Below are 22629 nucleotides of genomic sequence, written 5' to 3'. Positions count from 1 at the left end.
TTTTTTCAAAATCTTTCTTATACTCTTCAATTCATATTATGTGGTTATTTCTCCTACTATATTACCTACTTTAGGTTAAAATCAACATTATCCAAGAACAACTTATCTTTTCTGCTAGAAGGATAGTCCCTTGGAAAGAATACACAATAATGACCTTAAAGGACTCAAGCAATTATACAGAATTGGTTGCCATAGGAATGTGTGATTAGGAGGTATGCTCAAGGTGAGGCCTCATTTAGCTTCTGATGAATAAAGTTGAATGGAAGAAAATGGCCTACAACAGATGGGGAGCATAAAAACTTTGGCTGAGAAGAAATGAAAGTTAAGTGGACAGAACGTCTTTTAAGGCTGTAAAGGCAGGCAGGCAGCTGGAAACTATTGTGGCGAAGGTCTTGCATGCTGTGAAAAGCCAGACATTACTATGTTTTGCTACTGTAACTAGGAAATATTGAGGGAAATTTGGCATAAAGTAAAGGCACTTGCAAGTTCATTTCTTCTGGCAATTTAGAAATGGGAGATCTAATAGAAGCTATAAGAATGAAGGAGTAAGACCTAATTATTGAAAGATCCAGTTATCACTTCATGACTAATGCTTCTTTGTAAATTGGGAAAGAGTTGAGTCACTGTTGTCCAGGGGAACTCAACTTTAAATCTCCCTGTTATAAACAGCATTCCTCAAACCACAAACCCATCTCATTAACCATCAGATGTTATACAGATACTACTTTGACAATGACTCACATTCTCTCTGGAAGTTTCATACAATTTAAATAGAGATATTAATTAAACTATAGAAAGATGGGTCTCTGTAGTACTAGTCCATATTTAAGCTGAAAAACATATTAAAAAAAGAATTAATGAGATTGTGTAAAAGCTATTTGCATATGAAGTTTTCCAGTGACTACAAAATGGGACATAGTGTAATCCAATTTAGTTATTAGTTTTCTTTCAATTTTACTTATTTTTTTAAAAGAATAAACAAGGATATTGCCAGACCCAAGATTGGAAAATCATAGTACTTTTAGACATACAGAATGAAGTCACAGCTGAAAGCAATTTTTTTGTGTGTTTTTCTGTAAAAAGGATTTGAAGATTAAAAAAAAAAGTTTGAAAAAGTGGGAGGTTGTGAGTTGCAGGGGCACACATATGATGCTAAAATGACATTGTTAATTAAATGCAAATTGGCAAATAAATTATTTTCACTACTTGTTCCTACAGTAAAGTTTTTTTTCTTTTATTTATGCGTAGAGTTCTATTCTGTAAACAGAAGCAATAAGATATGACTATATGGGGAACATAGATGTAACTGATACTACAGACTTTTTCTCTTACAGATAAATGTGGTATTTCCAAAAATTAATTCTTCTTACCTACTGGTAGTACCTTTAGGGTAGATACTTAGTCTGCCCAGGTGATTGGATAATTCATCACTAGACTAAATCCTTAACAAGGCTTCTAGGCAAGGTTAGAAAATAGATGGTCCTTCAAATGGTTACCTGCACCTTGGGCCATTTGATGAGTATGATTTACTGTGCCTATCACATCTGTTAACACTGCAATGAATTCTTGCCCTGTTTCTATTTTTTCCCATCTTCCCTACCTCCTCCCTGCTACAAGGCTGGGACTAAGCTTTTTACAGCCTGGGAGTAATGGGATGAAGGAAAGCATTTTTCTTGGTGATAAAGTAAGATGATTTGCTTCTTTAGATAGGTGCATGTGGAAGTATATTTGTCCTATAAAGTTAAAGGAAGAAGAAAGGAACGTTCTTTACTTCCAGGGGTAAGGACATGTAAACTCTGATTTTATTTTATGAGTTAAAGAAAAGGGACAGATAATCATTTGATATGATTGTGAAAGACTAGGATAATCAGGAGTGGAGGAGAGCATAACTATTTCTATAGAGGATAAGGTCAAAGTCAGTATGACATCTTTTAGGAAGTAGTTCCTGAGTGTTGTAGATATTTCCAGCTCTGGTTGAGTCCAAAATCTATTAACAACATTGTAAAGGTACTCATTCTAGGGATTGCATTGGCAGTTATTCACATCCCCAAATTTTACTTCCTAGGTTTATGTGGAATTTTGAGCAGTTGAGTTAAGCCCAATGTCTAAACTTCTCAGATATTTTATAACTTGATACATAAATGTAAAAATGCATTTGTATATGCCAATATTAACATTGCTCAAATTGTTTTATTTTTAAAAATAGTGAGAATAAAGGAATATTATCATGTATTACCATGGCAAAATGTTTTAATAAAGGACAAACTAATATCTCAACTGAACATTAATAACTTATATAGACTAGTTCCCTAATAGAAACACCATTTCAATATGATGTCAAACTTAATAATATTGAGATGCACAGTTAGTGTAAGGAAAACATATCCATTCCAAAGGAAAGAACTAAGGGCCAATAAGTAATCACATCAACCACAAAAAATCAAATAATTTTAGTATGTAGAGTGAGCTAAATTTGATGTAATCTTTTTTGAAGCAAGTTCTAACCTTTTTCTTTTTACATTTCAGAAATAAGTAAAAGACAGTATGTAAGTATACCTAAAAGGACTTTATAAATCCATCTTTTTAGAAGGAATGACTTCCTTCTAATAGAAGGAGAAATCTGGTGGATGCCCTCTGAGGACAGTATGTTGAATACATTAGATGGGATAGAAGGAAGCACTTTTATTAGTTTCTATTGGTAAAAGACAATCCAGAGTAATTACACTTTGCACATCGTCTCTTCTGATACACTAGATTGCTATTTTGTTCAACTGTTACTTTGTTTACCCTAGTTCTGCACTTTTGTGATCCAAAGCAATCAACATTTTATTTAATGAGAGCAGTGGTTTCTCATTTTAAGTTTGTCATCATCGGAGGAGACTTAGCCACGAGTCAGAGATGGTTTATGTAATTCCTACTACCATACAGCCTAAGAGCATGTGCAGCTCAAACATTAAACTGAATTCCCTATATAACATATCTGTCAGATGTTGTGTGTGGAATACAGGAGTAGAATGCAGCTTGCCATCCTACTTACATTTCAGATCTAAACCTCAAATGCCGTGTTACAAGACCCAGCCAAATTTGGGGTCTCAGAGCATTTGTTACTTTCATAGTAGTGTTATTGCTTTGGATACATTTCAAAAATAAGTAGTTTAAAAAAATCTTTCAAAATTAAAAATCACAAGTTTCCCTGACTAATGACTTACCTTTTAAGCCAACTTTAATAAACTCGCATTTGAACTAAACAAACCCGATGACCAAAAGGAAAACTTTATTATTTTAAGAAATTAGCTTCTATTAGTATTTTTAGCATCTCACTCCAATGTGACAGTCTCAGAACATGTAAATAATTCAAGTTTAGCAAATTCCAGAAATAAATTATGGATGCCTTATTAAGTGTTATAAATTGCTCAATTTGCTGAATAAATTGGGGAAATGGCTTTTAAGTACTTGCTACCTCTATCCTTACTTTTGATCTTTTATTTTCTTGTGTTTAGTGAGACTGTAAAGTGAAGATTGCAGTTGGGAGCTAATTACTAATATCTTTTAACAACTTTGGAACATAGGTGAGCATGGTCCATACCACATGTTCCTATGATCTTTGACAGCAGCCATTATATTTGGATATCTTCTTAATCCAAACTTTTTATGCCTAGCTTTTCTCTATTTGTTGCCTTTATCTCATAACCTAATTTCCTTCCTTACTCCATCTCAACCCTAATAAGCCTTGTTAGGCAGCAGCAACCATATTTCATATGATTCATATTGATATTCACTTGTCTTCTGTGCCATTCTTTTGGGGACTTTCTCTCTATTAGGGAGTATGCCTAGTCAAGTTTACCTTTACTCTTTTGATAAAGACATTTTGGTAAAGATTTCAATCATCTTGACAGATTTATTAGACCTCTTTTTGTATTTACAAACACTGTTCATGACTTTCAAGTCAGATCAACCATGTAGGTATGTTCTGCTGTGACTATGTATATCTTTGCTGGAAGGACCAAACCATCTGGGCATATGCTGTTGTGATTTGTGCGGGTGAGCTCCAGGGGATTGGGGTTGCTAAGATGGTGAGTCTACAGTTCAACACACAGGCAGCCTCAGGGGGCCTACTTCTGCTCTATTTTGATCATATTTTAGGTTGGACTTGCTAGATTTGGGGCAGTTCCTAGAGATCTAGGAGGCCAAAAAGAACTTGAATCTGTTCTAGGGCTCAGTCATTTTGTTCATTAGAATGATAGAAACCAATGTGTCCATTGACCAATATGTTTTCACAAAATGCTTCACAGTGTTTCCAGGTTTCATGAAATTTAGCAAAAGAGAAAATATGTTGGTGGAATGTAGCTTCTAGATGCAGTAGTATCTTCTGTCCAGTTTTTGGATATGTTTAGATTTACTACAGACTCCTTAATGCTAGAAGGTCAAAAGAAGTTAACATTGTCCATTGCAGTGATCTTCAGTTTATATTGGAATAGCATTTGTTTCCATTAATGATCCAATTAATGAGAGAAACCATGTTATGTGATGAGATGTGGGAATTAGGAACTGTAACTAATCTTATTTTTTGTCTCTTGTGAATACAATAGGAATAAATAATAATGTCACAACTCCTTTACAGATTTCCAGCAGATTATACATATGGTTGAAAGACCAAATTGCTTTATTCCAATCTAAAATTTATGGAGTGATTCTACACTAAAGATTGCACTGACAGCATGGATTCAGGCATTCTAAAGTCACTGGAGCAGATAAATTGTCTGAGAAAGAAGGTAAAAAAGATCTTAGAAAAAAACTCCTAAAATTTTTGCCATTTGTTTATGATGATTTCATTCAAAATTGTTTTTGGTAGGATGAATCAAATGTATCTTATAATTGTTCTTCTGTATTTTTGTCTGAACATTGCTTCCCAGTAATGTAACTTAAGCTTTGCTGCTAAAAGGGTCATAGGAATTTATAGAATTATGGCCATCAATCATATGCTGGATATTGCTGAAGTGCTGACTGATAGAGACTTATTGTCTACTGTCACATAACATAAAATTTTCTGTAAGAAAGTGTACTATTAGCTACAGCGAAGGGCTTACTTTATATAGAGTGTTAAACATAACTTGTATCTTCCCTTGATAGATGACTTGTTACTAATTTTGATTCCAAAAATAAAATTGGCTATCAAAAAAAACTCCTAAAAATTTACATAGAACTATAACAGACTAATAGAACATTAGAACCGGGTGATACCTGATTTACAATATTTGATCATAACTATTCAATATAGCTTGCTTGCGATAGAATGTTGGGAACCTTTCAGTGGCTCTTCCATTAGCATTTTCTGAGATCAGGAGAACTGCCTAAACCATCTTGTTCTCTTGATTAGTATCAGTGCCTAGAACATAAAATGTGCTTAGAAAATCTTTGCAGAATGAATAAATGAGAGTGAATGAATGGAAGAGAGGAAATATGCCAAGCAGAGGACTGAATCACTTGTCTCTGATCAGCATTACTATTACTTAATGTTAGAAAAACAAAGGGAGCATATTCCTTTATAGTTTGTGAATACATTAGGCTCCTAATTCTTGATTTTATTTTGCTCCCACTTAAACCCTATATGACTGCAATCTATTTTTTGTACAATGATGACCTTTTAAAATCAAATCACACAATGTCACACTTCTGCTTTGAAAGCCTGTAATGCCTGTTTACTGTAGTTAGTACAAAATCCCGCCATTTATCTTGGCTTGCAAGTACGTGCTCAGCCTGGTCCTTGCCCACTTATCCAACCTCATCCCTCAAGGCTCTTTGCCTATCACACTGCATGCCAGTCATGCAGAACTCTATCTGCTTCTAGTTTGTTTCCACCCCAGGACTATTATAGTGTCTGTTCCCTCTGCCTGGAAGGTGGATCTTTACCTTCCTGTCTCCTTTCCATCATTTAGTTTTCCGTTTAAAGTTCACCTCCTTAAAGAAGGCTTTCTTGATCACCCCTCCTAGTTGACAATGCTCCCTCTAGCACTCCCTGCCTTGTCACTCTTTATTTTCATATAGCAGTAATTACTTTATCTTATCGTCCTCCAGGAGAGCCATTTTTATTGCTGTGTTCTTATGCCTAGAACAGAAGTTGGCACAGGTTGAACGTGTACATATGGAATTTTTGGTTACACATTTAGATGCTCTAACAGGCTGGGCTTAGTGGCTTATGCCTGTAATTCTAGCATTTTGGGAGGCTGAGGTGGGCAGATTGCTTGAGCTCAGGAGCTTGAGACTAGCCTGGGCAACATAGTGAGACCCTGTCCCTACAAAAAATACAAAAATTAGGCAGATGTGATGGCATGTGCCTGTAGTCCCAACTACTTGGGAGGCTGAGTTGGGAGGCTGGCTTGAGCCTGGGAGGCAGAGATTGCAGTGGGCCAAGATTATACCATTGCACCCCATCTTTCTATAAGATTACTAGTATATAAAACTTTGAGAATACTGTCCCTCTAGTTTGAAGCTGCAGTTTAAAAATTGGCTTCTATAGAACAACAACTTTTTTTTGCCATTGTAAACTGCACTGCATTAATATCTTCGAGCATAAACATCTTAACCTGTTGCAACTTTGTTTATAGGCTAGAGTCCCAGAAGTGGAGTTGTTGAGTCAAAGTTTATATAAAATTTTAATCTTCTTGGATGCAAAAATTCTAAGTAAAATATTAGCAAACAGAATACAATAATGCCTCCAAAGAATAACACATCATGAATAAGTAGAACTTATTCCAGGAATGCGTGGCTATTTCTTTTTTTCCCTTTTTAAAGTTTTATTTTAGAATCAGGGGGTACATGTGCAGGATTGTTACAGAGGTATATTATATAATGCTGAGGTTTAGGGCATAACCGAACTTGTCATCCTGGTATTGAGCATAGTACCCAATAGGTAGTTTTCAGCCCTTGCTCCCATTCCTCTCTCTATCACTAGTAGGCTCCACTGTCTATTGTTCCCATCTTTTTGTCCATGTGTATCCAATATTTACCTTCCACTTGTAAATGAGAACATTTGGTATTTGGTTTTCTGATTCTGCATTAGTTTACTTAGGATAATGGCATGTAGCAGCATCAATGTTGCTGCAAAGGACATGATTTCATTCTTTTTTATGACTGTATAATATTCCATGATGTATATGTACCATATTTTCTTGATCCAGTCCACCATTGATGGGCACCTAGGTTGATTCCATGTTTTTGCTATTGTGAATAACGCTGCAATGAACATATGGGTGCATGTATCCTTTTGGTGGAATGATCTGTATTCCTTTGGGTATATACTCAGTAATGGAATTGCTGAGTCAAACAGTTTTTCTGCTGAGAAATCTCCAAACTCCTCGCCACAGTGGCTGAACTAATTTACATTCCCACCAGCAGTGTATTAATATCCCCTTTTCTCCACAGCCTCACCAACATTTGTTATTTTTTTGACTTTTTAACAAAAGCCATTCTGACTGGCGTGAAATGGTATCTCATTATGGTTTTGGTTTGCATTTCTCTGATAGTTCGTGATGATGAGCATTTTTTTCATATGTTTGTTGGCCACTTGTATGTCTTCTTTTGAGAAGTATGTGTTCATATCCTTTGCCTACTTTTTAATGGGGTTATTTGTTTTTTGCTTGTTAAGTTCCTTACAGATTCTGGAGTATTAGACCTTTGTCAGACTTACAGTTTGCAAATATTTTCTCCCATTCTGTAAGCTGTCTGTTTAATTTCTTGATAATTTCTTTTGCTGTGCACAAGCTCTTTAGTTTAATTAGGTCCCACTTACCAATTTTTGTTTTTGTTGCAGTTGCTTTTGGGGACTTAGTCATAAATTATTTGCCAATGCCAATATCAAGAAGGGTATTTCCTAGCTTTTCTTTCCCTAGGATTTTTATAGTTTTAGATCTTACATTTAAGTCTTTAATTCATCTTGAGTTAATTTTTGTATATGGTGATAGGCAGGGGTCCAGTTTCATTCTTCTGCATATGGGTAGCCAGTTATTCCTGCACCATTTATTGATTAGGGGGTCTTTTTCTTATTGATATTGCTTATTGATATAAGTTTGGCTGTGTCCCCACCCAAATCTCACCTTGAATTATGATAATCCCCACATGTCAAGGGCAGGGCCAGGTGGAGATAATTGAAACATAGGGACAGTTTCCTCCATACTGTTCTTATGGTAGTGAATAAATCTCATGGGATCTGATTATTTTATAAATGGGAGTTCCCCTGCACAAGCTCTCTTGCCTGCCACCATGTAAGACATGAGTTGCTCCTCATTCACCTTCTGCCATGATTGTGAGGCCTCCCCAGCCATGTGGAACTGTGAGTCAGTTAAATCTCTTCCTTTATAAATTACCCAGTCTCAGGTATGTCTTTATTAGCATCATGAGAACAGATGAATAAACTTATTTTTGTCTACCTGGTACTTATTGTGCAGCTTTATTTCTGAGTTTTCTATTCTGTTCCATTGGTCTCTGTGTCTGGTTTTGTACCTGTACCATGCTGTTTTGGTTACCACAACCTTTGGTTAGTTTGAAGTCAGGTAATGTGATGCCTCTGGCTTTGTTCTTTTGCTTAGGATTGATTTGGCTATTCAGGCTGGTTTTTTTTTCGATTCTGTATGAATTTTTGGATGTTTTTTTCTAATTCTGTGAAAAATGGCATTGGTAATTTGATAGGAATAGCATTGAATCTGTACATTGCTTTGTGGAGTATGGCAATTTTAATGATATTGATTCTTCTCAATCCATGAGCATGGAATATTTTCCCATTTATTTGTGCTGCCTCTGGTTTCTTTCAGCAGTGTTTTGTAGTTTTCTTTGTAGTGATCTTTCACCCCATTTGTTAGATGTGTTCCTAGGTTTTTTTGTACGTGTCTTTTATAAATAGGATTGTATTCTTGATTTGGCTCTCAGCTAGAATGTTATTGGTGTATAAAAATACTGTTGAGTTTTGTACATTGATTTGGCATTCTCAAACTTTGCTGAAGTCATTTATCAGTTCTAGGAATCTTGTGGCAGGGTCTGTAGAGTTTTCTGAGTATAGAATCATATCATCAGTCTAACTCCTTCTTTTCTTATTGGGATGCCTTTTCTTTCTTTCTCTTGCCTGATTGGTGAGGTTAGTTCAATATAAGAAATCTGTGAACTTAGTTCATTATATTTATCAATTAAAGGAGAAAACAATATATGAATAGACACTGAAAAGCCTTGAGTAAAAAATGCTATTAATAAAAAGTCTAAAGAAAATATGAATACTAGAATGCTGCTTAAAAAAGATTATCAGAAATAAATAGCAAATATTATCCTAAATGATGGATGTTTAATATGAATTTAGACATTTCCATTATAATGATAAAGAATAGGGAAATGATTAGTACTCAATATTATTCAACATGATTTTGAAAGTTCCTTAAAATACAGAACATTGGTTTATGCAACGATTTCTTGAGTAAGACCTCAAAAGCACAGGCAACAAAAGCAAAAATGGACAAATGGGATCACATCAAGCTACAAGGATACTCCACAGCAAAGGAAACAATCAACAAATTGAAGAGACAACTCTCAGAATGGGAGAAAATATTTGCAAACTATCCCTCTGAAAAGAGATTAATAACCAGAATATATAAGAAGCTCAAACAATTCAATAGCAAAAAAATACCTGATTATAAAATGAGGGAAAGATCTGCGTAGGCCTATCTCAAAAGAAGACATATGGCCAACAGGTATATTAAAAAGTGCTCATCATCACTAATCATCAGAGAAGTGCACATCAAAACTACATTCAGATATTATCTCATCCTAGTTAAAATGGCTTTTATCAAAAAGACGGAAGATGACAGATTCTGCTGAGGATGTGGAGAAATGGGAATCCTTATACACTATTAGTGAGAATATAAATTAGTATAGCCATTACAGAAAATAGTATGGAGGTTTCTAAAAAAATTAAAAATAGAACTACCCTATGATCCAGCAATCCTACTGCTGAGTATACATCCAAAAGAAAGGAAATAGGTATCAAAGAGGTATCTGAACTCTCATGTTTATTATAGCACTATTCACAGTAGCCGAGATATAAAATCAATCTAAGTGCCCGTCAGTGGATGAAGGGATAAAGAAAACATGGTAGATATATACAATGGAATATTATTCAGCCATATAAATAATAAAATCCTGTCATTTGCAAAAACATGAATGGAAATGGAGAGCATTATGTTAAAAAAAATAAGCCAGGTATGGCAAGAAAAATATTGCATGTTCTCACTCATACGTGGGAGCTAAAAAAATGATCTCATGGAAATAAAGAGTAGAATGATGGTTACCAGAGGATAGGAAAGGTGAATGGGGGGAGGGTTGGATAAAGAGTGTTTAGTTAATGAGTACAAAAATATAGTTAGAAGGAATAGGTTATAGTGTTTGGTAGTGCAATAGGGCAACGATAGTTACCAATAATTTATTATATGTTTCAAAATAACTAGGAAAGTGGAATTAGAACGTTCCTAACACAAAAAATAACAAATGTTTGAGGTGATATATATAATAAATATCCTGATTTGATCATTACACATTGTATGCTTATTATTAAAAACTCACATGTACCCCATAAATACTGTGCAACTATTATATATCCATAAAAATAAAAATAAAAAACACTAATACAAATGAAATAACACCTAAAATAATGGAAAAGGAAACATAAAATAATTTTCTTTTCTTGTCTATATTATCTTAGTATTTTTAGAACCTATTATGGACTGAATTATGTCCTACTTAATTCATACGTTGAAGCCTTGACACCCAAGTTTACTGTATTTAGAGATGGGGTCGTTAAAGTGGTAATTAAAATTAAATAGGGACATTAAAGGTGAAATCCTAATCTGGTGTGGCTGATGCCATTATAAAATGAGGAGGAAACACCAGTGAAGAGTGCACACAAAGGAAAGAACTTGTGAGAACACAGTGAGAAGGTGGCTATCCTGCAAGCCAAAGACAGAGGCCTCAGGAGAGACCAATGCATCTGGCACCGTCATCTTGGACTTACAGCCTTTAGAACTGTGAGAAAGAAAATTTCTGTTATTTAAGCCACCCATTCTGTGGTATTTCGTTATGTCAGCCTAAGCAAAAACTACTGTAATACAGAAACCTGTGACATACTTATGTTAGTAAAAATGTACAAATTGTTTGTAGCAAGAGAATTTGGTTAAATGGCTGATGTAAGGTCCTCTGAGCTGGCCTCACCATGGTCAAGCCATGGTGACATTCCCTACCCTTGTGATAATATACTTTGTGATATTCCTTGTGAATGTACTTTGTAACATTCCTCCCTGTCCTTGTGACAATACACCCTCCCTGCCCTTGTGAATGTACTATGTAACATCCTCCCTGCCCTGTGACAATACACTCTCCCCACCCTTGTGAATGTTCTTTGTAACATCCTCCCTGTCTTTGAGAATGTACTTTGTAACATCCATCCCCTACCTGCAAAAAATTGAAAAAATTGCTCCTGACTCCACCACCTATCCCAAACCTATAAGAACCAATGATAATCCCACCACCCTTTGCTGACTCTTTTCCCAGACTCAGCCCACTTGCACCCAGGTGAATAAATAGCCTTGTTGCTCACACTAAGCCTGCTCAGGTGGTCTCTTATATGGACGTGCGTAACAGCTGAATAGAAGATAATTATACAAGAACCAGAAACTTTTTTCTATATGACTTATAATCACCTATAAATAGAAATTAGAAAAACTTCCATAAATAGAATTAACTATATGACAAAGGTGGGATTTTAATATCTTGATCTTTAACTACTTGAATAAACACTTGCTATAATTTCATTTACTTTTGTCTTTAAAAAATCTTTATTTTAAAAATTAATTTTTATTTTATTTTATTTTTTGAGACAAGGTCTTACTCTGTCACCCAGGCTGGAGTGTAGCGGCATGATCATGGCTCATTGCAGCCTTGACCTCCCCGGGCTCGGGTGATCCTTCCACCTCAATATTTTTAATTGTCTTAAAGAGGAATTCTTTAGCTTCAACATAGAAACACTGAGCTGTATATCACCTTTTATTTATTGCTGCCCTGACAAAAGTTAGCATGTGAGTTGTTTAGCTTATTAAAATGAACAGTTTAAGTTGTTAGAAATATTAATTGTTGAGTAGTCATTTATTCAAGTTGTAAGTTTAATGGATATGGAAAAATATTCAACAACAGCAGGAAATTATTACATAATACCTTCTTTATTTTATTGAATTTCAACAAACATGCTTTCTAAGAAACAATCTGAAAGTAAATAATTTATATTGTCTAATTTAATTATCTAATGACACAATAATAAAGGGCTATTTTTCAAATAACTTTTACTAAAAATAAAGTTTATATTATAATACTATTTTCTATCTATAATCTGATTTTTGAATTCTGTTTAAAGGATGTTTGAGTTAGGAAAGTTAACTTGAGATGTCAGCTTACAGCTTTAAGTGATAGAAGAAATACAATTTTATTTCACTTTTTAAATTTAATTTTTCTTCTAAAATTACTGCACAATCTTTCCATATAAAAAAGAATGCATAACATACCGCAAGTATTTATTATTTTCAAGATTATCTACCTACTACCCTCTTTTGTGATACTTCCATGATTTTAAGTAGAATGTTGTAGAATTATTATTTTTCATAGAAATAATAACCCTCTTTATCAACATTTAAACAATTAAGAAATGTACAAGAGAACAAAGTATCTTCCTTCCATGCCCAATCACCCAGAAAAAAAATTAATATAATATAGAACATCTTTCCAGACATTGCTTAATGCATCTATAAAGATAGGAATACAGCTATGGATGATTGGAAACAGTGCATAAAAATTGCAATCTAAATATACATTTTACATTAAAAGTAATAAATTTAAATTTGCTGGAATTTAACAAAAGAAAAGGAAAATGAAAGATTTTTTTAAGCTTCTGATAGATGTTTCTTCATCAGAGATAGTCTTCCTAAAAGCTTTCTGCATTTAAAAAAGATGAGAAATGGTAAAAAGTTTTAAGTTTATGTTTCAATTTTATACCCTATTGACTGATTTCTGCTGTGAAAGGTGACGAAGTGAGTACTCTTCCTTCATCCACCCATTTCTTTGTTTCCGTTTTTTACTCAATGTAATATAATGTTTACTTTTCAGCTTTTATAACATTACCATTTAGTTCTATAGCTGTAATTCCCACGGTTTAGTTTTGGCTTTACATTTAAATGAATTTCATTTTCTCTACCAGTCTTTTTATCACAGCTTCTTCATTCTTCAGTTCCTTGTTTTCATTCACATATTTGATGGCTGAATTTCATTGTCAGTAAGTACTCAGAGATATTATATTCTCTGAGTTTTTGAATTTCTACAAATTCAAAATTTCTACAAATTACAAATTTTAAAATGTTGTAAAATACTTGGATTATATTCCAAGAAGAATTTTGTAGATACTGTTCTATTATTTTCTGGTACTAAAGATTGTTGGTGTGATGTCTGAGGCTAGCTTAATTTTTTTGCCCCTGTATATGACTTATTTTATTTTCTCCGTGAATGGGTGGATTCTTTGGTCTATCATTCTTTTAAAAAAATTTTTATATTTTTTACAGAAAAATAATTGAACAGCATAAATACATGTATAAATTATAACTATATCTATATTAATTACTTATTTGTACTAGAGGTTTTTAAATAATTAACTATGTTTTAAGATGGAACACATCATTTGCCTTTCATTAAAAATATTGGGACCCAACAGGCAAATCTGTTTTTATTATTTTTTCTCATTTTTTGATCATTTTACAGTGATATTTTAATTTTGATTTTAGCTTTACATTTTTATAACTTTTTCTATTATCTTTACTCTTAGCTTAAAATATTTTAGCTTAAAACATTTTACTGTTGTTATTCTTTTAGATATTTTAAAGGAAAAGAAAAACTTTATGTGTGACAATTTTGAACTTAAGTACATCCCAAATAAGGGAGATTAGATGCTTTATTTCATCCTAGTGGGTTCTGGAATATCTCATCTACCTTCCCTAGATAGAGCCTATTATTATCCCATTCCATTCATCTTTGACATTCCTAAAATATTTTATGTGTATATTTCTGACTTTTTGCCCACAAGCAAAATTCACTACAATAATGGTAATTACTTATACAAACAGCATTTTTAACTGCTGAGATATATATATATATATAAAATATTTCACTCCCTTTAAGAGGAGTTATATATTCTAAAACCCACAAACAACCAGTGCATATTGGACAAGTCTGGTTAAATAAATGACTACATAACTACTAGGGAAGTAGATGGGAGAGTCCATTCAGGGAATACCCTTAACCTAATGCCAATGTTTAAATCTTAACAAAAAACCCTCATCTTATTTACCTTCTTTCTGAGCAGAGTTATGAAAGGAGTCTCTTAGAATGTAGAGTTTCCCAAATCAAAACAGTGTGTGCTAGAAAGACCACGAGCTTGGAGTTATATATCTCAGATTGAAATTTAGCTTTGTTACTAACTATGAAAAGTTGAGCAAGTTATTTAATGTCTCTGAGCCTTGGTTGCTTCATATTTATAGTGTGATAATGACTAATTTATTGTAAATGAAATAATGTACACAAAGTGTAAAGGACATACAAAACACTCCACTAACATGTCTTGAGCTGAGTATCTCGAGTATCTCTTTGAAGAAAATTTTGTTTTGCCTTAGGTACCTCTGCACCCTGCCTCTCTGTGGCCTTTGATAATGAGATGTCAGTTTTATGACCTGTCAGTTTAGCAATCAGCACCTAAGGATACCCTTTCATCCAGCCGTAAAAAATGCCTATGGAAAGCAAAAGTGACATTGTCTCAGCAGTTAAGTATACTTTTAGCATGAGAAAAGGAATTTTGCCCTGTGGGTTCACAGAGTCATTCAGAAGAAATATTTTAGGAATTTCAGTAAAACTACAGCCTTGAATCATTTACTCCTCATTTTTTTTAAATCAAAAGTGTTAAGCCTGCAAATTTAAAGACTGTGTAATCCATCTATACTCTGGTCCTTTAGGACATATGGATGGGCTTCAAGGGATGAATGAGCTTCCTGAAATTGTATACAAAGCTAGTATGCCGGTGCATTTTTGTGCTGAGAGGTCTGTAGTATTCAAAAGATTCTTAGAAGGGTTCATAGCTCACATAGAATTTAGAACTACTTTCCCAGCTACTCTAACAGTGGTCTTTGGAAGAAATTAGACCAAAAAGACCGTAATAACTTGACCTGATGTATAATCATCTTCACTGAATTTTAATAATAAGCCTGTATCATATAATAAAATAAATAATAGTCATAAGATTTTCCAGCAAATATTATAAACATAATTGTTGAGGGTAAAATTTACTAATTACTTAGTATCTCATATTTCATATACAAAGTTACAATGAGAATTTTCTTTTAAAATCTGGAGTCAGAAAAATCTTAGCTTTTCTTAGTATCTGCAATGTCAGCATTTCTCCTTTTTTTTTTTTTTTTGTTGAGACGGAGTCTCGCACTGTCGCCCAGGCTAGAGTGCAGTGGCGTGATCTCTGCTCACTGCAAGCTCCGCCTCCTGGGTTCACGCCATTCTGCTGCCTCAGCCTCCCGAGTAGCTGGGACCACAGGCACCCACCACCATGCCCGGCTAATTTTTTGTATTTTTAGTAGAGACGGGGTTTCACCGTGTTAGCCATGATGGTCTCGATCTCTTGACCTCATGATCCTCCCGCCTCGGCCTCCCAAAGTGCTGGGATTACAGGCGTGAGCCACCGCGCCCGGCCGCTTTTCTCCTTTTTAAACAGTGAGAATTAGATGACTCATTTTAGCCTTCATTTTTACCTTGTTTTTCAGGGAACTTAAAGTCAGAATTTAAGCTAAATGATGGCATCTATGTTGCTCTTACAAATTATGTATTTACCTTATCTATTCTATGACAACTATTTTCTATTTCTAATTATATTTTATTATATGCGTTTTTGTTGTTGTCTAAACTGCCTCATATCCTTAATGTAAACAGTTAAGATATAATAGATATGCATTAAAAAAGAAATCACCGTTGGAATTGGCCATGGAGGAGTAAATGAAGGGAAGATTTCTCTTATTACAATGATTAAAGTGTATACATTCTTTAGGGAAGAGAGAGAATCCCAACAAAAGATGAGAACTTCTTTTATAATAAATTACAAGCAGCTCGTTGCTCTCCAAGTTTAAGTTAGGTAACTCTTATAAGGAATTTTCTCAGCTGTAGGGTGCTATTTATACCCTTAAAAACGGGTCAGCTGTGACCCAATAAGTGCACTTTGGGTCCCTCAGAACATTCCAGTTCATTTATTCAATACAAATTATTCAATAATTGGTTCGCAAGAAGAAACAAATAATTGGTTCGCAAGGAGAAACAAATAATCATGCTTGTAACGTGTCTATTCTGTGATGCATGATTCTTTTTACCCTAAATCTCTCAGTTTTATATTCATAACTTCCTCTAGGTGAAGGAGGAGAAAGTGGAGGGATTGGGATGGGTGAATACAGAAGTTGCAAGATTGTCACTTTTGGTGGATCTGCAAAAAAAGTAAAAACCATTTGATAATGGAGTAGGGAGATTAGTGTGGACTTAAGAAGAGGTCTTGGTTATAACTCAAATTTACTTTAGGTTAGTGTATGATTTATTCAAACATTTATTCATTCAAAATGTTTTTATTGAGCTTCTATTTTGTGTAAGTACTATTCAAGAAACTGGAAACACAAACATGAAAGCACCATGAATTCCTGTCTTTGAGGACCATGTATCTAGTTTATGGGAGATTAATAGTCATATGATTATCCAGTGATTATCATTACCCGGTATAATGTAGGTCTGTACAAAGTGCTCCAGTAATACAGGCGTGAAATGTTTGAGCTTGTCCAAGTTTAGAGAAGGCTTCAGAGAGCTGATTTTGACCTGGGTCTTAACAAATATGTAGGAATTGTAAAGCAGAGAAGGGAAGGGCACTGAAGGCAGTGGGGTGGGGAGTGACTTTCAAATGTCTGGGAATGTGACAAGCCATACCATGCCTGGGTACGGTTCTGCAGGAACTGCAGGCTATAATTTAACTTACATTTTGGTGGAAGCAAGGTAGAAAGTAAAGATGAAGCAGAAAAGTTGGGATCAGATTATAAAGGGCCTTGATTATTTTCAGGTATTTGGACTTTGTCCTGTAAGATCATATGAGCCTTAGTTACAGATCACTCATGCACGTAATTGGTAACAATATATTAAATATATTTTATAATTCTAACAAAATAATAGCAGCTGCTATTTATTTTAAAAATTCAGCATTTTTTTCCTGCCTAGTCTCTAGTTCCTGGGATTGGAACTTTACATAATTTGCAAAGTGGAACATAGTGCCTTTGTCTGGCCTTATGGAAAACTGCTTATTACTTCTAAATAATTCAGGTGGATATAAGTGCTTTGCCTGTGTCAATGATTACCAAGGGAAAGGTAAAATATTTATTTCAATATTTTGTCCACTTAAACTGAGAACTACTAATTATAGGATTCTTACAACTGCATAGATAATATAAATTCAAAATTGTACAAACCTTTCTATATTAGGGAATACAAATACATTTATATTCCTGTGCCAACAGTTAAAGAGCAGTAGTTGTTACCTTGAACATTACTTGAAAAAGACTCTGTACCTGGGTGCAGAGGGAAAGAATGCTACAATAATTAGCAATTGTAATTGAAGCCACATTTTTCTAATCTAGGTTATGTACTTTGGGAGAGAAGTCAAAATTCACTGTTTATCCTACAAGTATATTTTTATCTTTTTTTTTCAAACATATCAAGAATATGGTAGGAAATTAGTTAACTGAAGTAGTCTGGCCCCATCTACTTAAATCTCATGCAGAGTTAACTATGAAAGACATAAATGTACTTGGTGATGGAATAAATACATCAGTTTTTCATTATTGATAGTGAGGCAATAAAAGGATATGTAGATAAAGAGAGGCAGAACTTAAAATGCAAGATCTTAGAAAGTGTTCAAATACCAGTATTAACAAACAGTGCAATATGCAAAAATTTTAAGTATTTTTTAAAAGAATTTTTAAAATTTAATGCACAAGTATTCAATAACAGAGCCACATAATAAAACAAGGTGTCATATTTTCCTGAGGCCACAAAGACAGTGTTTGCTTACACACATTGTGGAAAAGCTACATTAACATTCTAAGTCACCATGCATGGCAGAAAGACAGAAAAGGGCAAAAAGATCTCATTTTCCCTGTAGAGGACAAGAAGAATGAGAGCCAAGTTGAAGTGTGGGCTGAGTCAAAAGCTTCCCCAGCAAGAGTTGGAGATTTCTTTCCACTATTCTGATCTCTGCTAATCTTGGAACTTTGTTAACATGCTAATATAAAGGGTTATACATAATAAAACTAATTTTTTCCTTTTTACTCACTTTCTTCTGAATTCCAGATGTCTAAATAATTATTTTCAAATATCATTATTTTTATTAAGTTGTATTTCTTATTAACCACTTTGGATCTATCTTGCAAAAATCTTGAATCAATTAAGCATGATATTCCTCCAGACCTATACGTGTACTCTAAAGATAGATAATACTGTACCTGGAAAACTCTTCTATTATCCTAATTTGACAAACTTGAGAAATAACATTATCTCTGAAAGAGTTTAAACATTGAGAAACTGTACAATTTATGACAAAACACTGTCATCATATTACCTGACAGAAGCAGCCATTGTCCCCATTGTGAAGATGAGAAAACAGAATCCATAAAATCAATAAACTATAGTCTGTACCTCATTCAACAAATCAAAGATAGGATCTCTAAGCTAGCTAGCAAAATATATTTATGAAGTAATGCTATTTGGTAAATTACATTGGTTTAGAAATAAAAATATAGGCTGGGTGTGGTGACTCATGCCTGTAATCCCAGCAGTTTGGGAGGCCGAGGTGGGCGGATCACGAGGTCAGGAGCTCGAGACCAGCCTGACCAACATGGTGAAACCCCATCTCTACTAAAAATACAAAAAAATTAGCCAGGCTTTGTGGCGCACACCTGTAATCCCAACTACTCAGGAGGCTGAGGCAGGAGAATCACTTGAACCTGGGAGCTGGAGGTTTCAGTGAGCTGAGATTGTGCCATGGCACTTCAGCCTGGGTGACAGAGCGAGACTCCATCTCAAAAAAAAAAAAAAGATATAAAAATATAAATATTCGATTTAACATTTTGTTCAGATTTACATTATGAGGGCATATTTTGACAACTAAATCTCCTATATGGTCATATTTCCTGTTAACTTTGTTGAAGATAAAGGTGCTTCATTCTTCTTTGTTTAGAAAGTATTTTTAAAGAGATCCATAGTGTGAAAGGAAAATATGTAAACAATTATAGAGTGATGATTTCTATCCATTTATATTTATTTGTTCATTCATAGAATCTTTAGCTCAGATTTCCTTTAACCTGAAGGCATACTTTCAAGTTAGAGAATACATGTTACAGTAAGATGCAACAGTATATTCACCTGAAAAGAATTTTAGATGGAGATGCTTTCACTTTTAAGTCATGACATAAAAAATTCTTTGTAGAAAATCTTTGAAGATTCCACCTGTGCTTTCATTTTGTGCCCCATATATAATACTGAGTAAAAAGTAGATCTTTGATAATTTTTTAAGCAATGCATTCATGCAACACACATTTTGTAAATGTGGCTTTTCAGTTTTTTTAATGAAATTAGTCCTCTAGCAGTCATCTCTTTAAGTATGATAAGTGAAAGTAATTAAAATTATTTTGAGGCCGTGGTTGATTTGTTGTTAATAGTGATCTCAAAACTAACAAAAGGGTAAAATTGGGTCACAGAGACTTTAGAAACTATAGGAATCTGAATATTTCTCCCTCAAAAAAAAAAAGGATATCTAACCTTTGAAATTGCTTTTAGTAAAGAAAAAGATATGCAAAAAACAATAATTAATTCAGTATTTAGAGAAACCTGTGCCTTACTCCATGCCTCATCACTCATGCACTATGTGTCATTTAATTTTTCCTACTATAATATTTTTATAGTAAAATATTTTTTCTAAGTCACAACTGTCCTTTGAACCAACACTGTGTTTTATGGCTGCTTTCCCAGGTAAGGTTCATGCAGACTGCTTTCTATTCCCCCATAAGACATTTTTTCCTTCAAAAATGGACTCAATTTCAAGGTTAAGTTCTTCTCATGTTGTGTGTTTTCACAGCAACAGTCAAGAGCACATTGTCCCACTGCTTTAGACAAATAGTTCAAAATAGGTACGTGAAAGCAAAGCTATGACCTTAGTTACATGGGAGATTAAAGGCATTTCCTGGATTGCAGATGTCTTTGCTTATAGGAGAGAAGAATTATAGAACCGACTCATTTTCTCTCCTTTTCCTCATTCTTTATCTCCACTCTTCTTTCTGTCAGCTGCATTCATTTTTGCTCTCTTAGGATCTAAGTTTCTCATACTGGATTTAGTTTCACATATTGTGAGACCCAAAGTATATGTCCTTGCCATATTTTTTTCCAGACACTAATTATTGTTATTCACAGAATATTATTCAGAGTCTGATTATTTACAGCTATATAGAAAGCCTGGTACAAAAAAGGTACAAAGTGACTTTACCTAGTAGGAACCTATAAGACAAAAATATAAATTTGAGTGGAAGAGTGCATGCTTATTTTGAAAAATAGAAACCAGAGAGGTTCCCCTCCGTTGTGGGTTCTTGACCCTCAGGGGTCATATTGAAATTCTCTTTAGATATCTTTTTCCCCTTTGGTTGATGAATATTTGAACAGCAGAACATTTAAACACTGAGCTAATTTTGTAACTCTAAAAATTACCCTAGTTTGTGGCATATAAGATGATCAATAAATATTTGTTGAACTGAACTAAACTTAAAGGAATCTTGTATAGTTATAGAGCAGTAACTGTAATACCACTCTAATATTTGGGACTGAAAAGGGTATTATAAAAATTACAAGAGTCATATTTTCCCTGCTGAGATATTAATGTCTACTTAACTTGAACAGAAAAAAGGCATCCTTTGGGGAAGAAAATGAGGTAATACAGAAATGAATTTTGCCATGAAATGATCCAGAACAATCTGGAGCATTTTGAAGTTAGTGCCAAGTGTAGCATATGGAAAAAAAGTTTTTAAAAATATGTCAACTTTCCCAAAATATGAAGTCATTGCATTTGCTACTAATTGACTGGCTTGCAAAATTCAACTTTTGGAACAGTCTTAGCTTCGGATGAGAGAGGTGTGAGTTCATGAAAGTATTCAAAATAAAGCTTGTTTGTGTGAGTATAATAAAAGCCTACAAACAGAAGATGATGTAATGACTTAACAAGTCAACTCTTGTCCTTCAAAATGTATTTTTTTAAATATACCTACTATTAAAAATGCTTCATCAGAAAAAGGATATATTCCACTTTATAATGACTGTATTTTTGGAAAAATACATGCTATTTTGATTAAGTATGTGAGTTATATATGCTGTTTGTAAAATCCTTAAACAATACATAAGGGCTTAAAATTAAAAGTAAAAAATCCTCCTGCTAGTCCACTTGCAGAAATGTTACCATTTATAGCTTTTTACATATTTTAAAATATGATTCCAGAACTTAAATATGTATTTAAACATAAACAATGAGAGATGAACTTCTTTATTTTTAATGTTTTATATGTATATAAAGTATGCCATTATAGAATATTAGACAGTTTAAAAAACTGAACATAATGAGCTTGATATATGTCTGTAAATGGATTTTAACTATTTATAATGATACAAATTTTACTTAATTATGGAACTAATACTAAATGTTCTACTGAATTGAAAGCAAGTACTTTGAGTGGCTAAAATTTGTACTATAATGATCATCCGGTACTACTGGTCTTAGAGAATTCTAAATGTAAGTAAGTCTCTATAAATATATATTGAGTACTTGTCTCTGTTCTAAGTGTTTTCCCATATTTTCTATCCATTAATTTAATTCTGATACCATTTCTGTGGAGCAGGATTAGGAATTTCTATTTTAGAGGCTTGCACCCTCTTGAGCAGTGGCTTGAGCTGTATGTGGGGCCCTTTGAGCTGCAGCTGGAGCTGGAGCAACTGGGATGTGGGGAGCAGTGTCTTCAGGCTGTGCAGGGCAATGGGGCCCTGGGCCTGGCCCCTGAAAACATTCTTTATTCCTTGGCCTCTTGACCTGTGATGGTAAGGGCTGTCTCTAAGATCTCTGAAATATCTTCAAGGCCTTTTCCCCATTATCTTGGCTATTAGCTCTTGGCTCCATTTTAGTCATGTTAATCTTTCTAGCAAGTGGTTGCTTTATAACATGCTTGTATTCCAATCCTGAAAATGGTTTTTATTTTTCTGCCACATAGCCAGGCTACAAATATTTCAAACTTTTACAATCTGCTTCCCTTTTAAATATAAGTTCTAACTATAAGTCACTTCTTTGCTCCTGTAACTGATTTTAGGCTATTAGAAGCAGCTAGGCCACACACTGAATGCTTTGTTACTTAGAAATTACTTCCGCCAGATACCCCAAGTCATCATTCTTAA

At 34.0% G+C, this 22629-nt stretch overlaps 1 protein-coding gene across 3 annotated transcripts in view, besides 1 other annotated feature; it reads left to right on the top strand.

Annotated features, from left to right (window-relative positions):
* COL5A2 (collagen type V alpha 2 chain) overlaps positions 1-22629 on the top strand; it is a 409214-nt gene that overhangs the window by 46849 nt on the left and 339736 nt on the right. Inside the window, exon 3 of one of the 3 annotated variants that reach the window (XM_047443251.1) lies at positions 4622-4772. The exons of the other annotated variants lie outside the window; for them this stretch is intronic. The gene's annotated coding sequence lies outside the window, so the exon portion shown is untranslated. The remainder of the gene's footprint in view (positions 1-4621; positions 4773-22629) is intronic. 3 annotated transcript variants of the gene reach the window in all.
* Positions 14564-15123: an enhancer, noted in NCBI's record as "OCT4-NANOG hESC enhancer chr2:190243866-190244425 (GRCh37/hg19 assembly coordinates)". NCBI's record gives its function as "activates a minimal SCP1, AML or CMV promoter by ChIP-STARR-seq in naive H9 embryonic stem cells {active_cell/tissue: H9 hESC(naive)}" and the evidence as "EXISTENCE:reporter gene assay evidence [ECO:0000049][PMID:30033119]".

Source organism: Homo sapiens, chromosome 2, assembly GCF_000001405.40.
Source record: "Homo sapiens chromosome 2, GRCh38.p14 Primary Assembly".
NCBI classification, from domain to species: Eukaryota; Metazoa; Chordata; class Mammalia; order Primates; family Hominidae; genus Homo; species Homo sapiens.
This window is presented reverse-complemented; position numbering and strand designations above follow the sequence as displayed.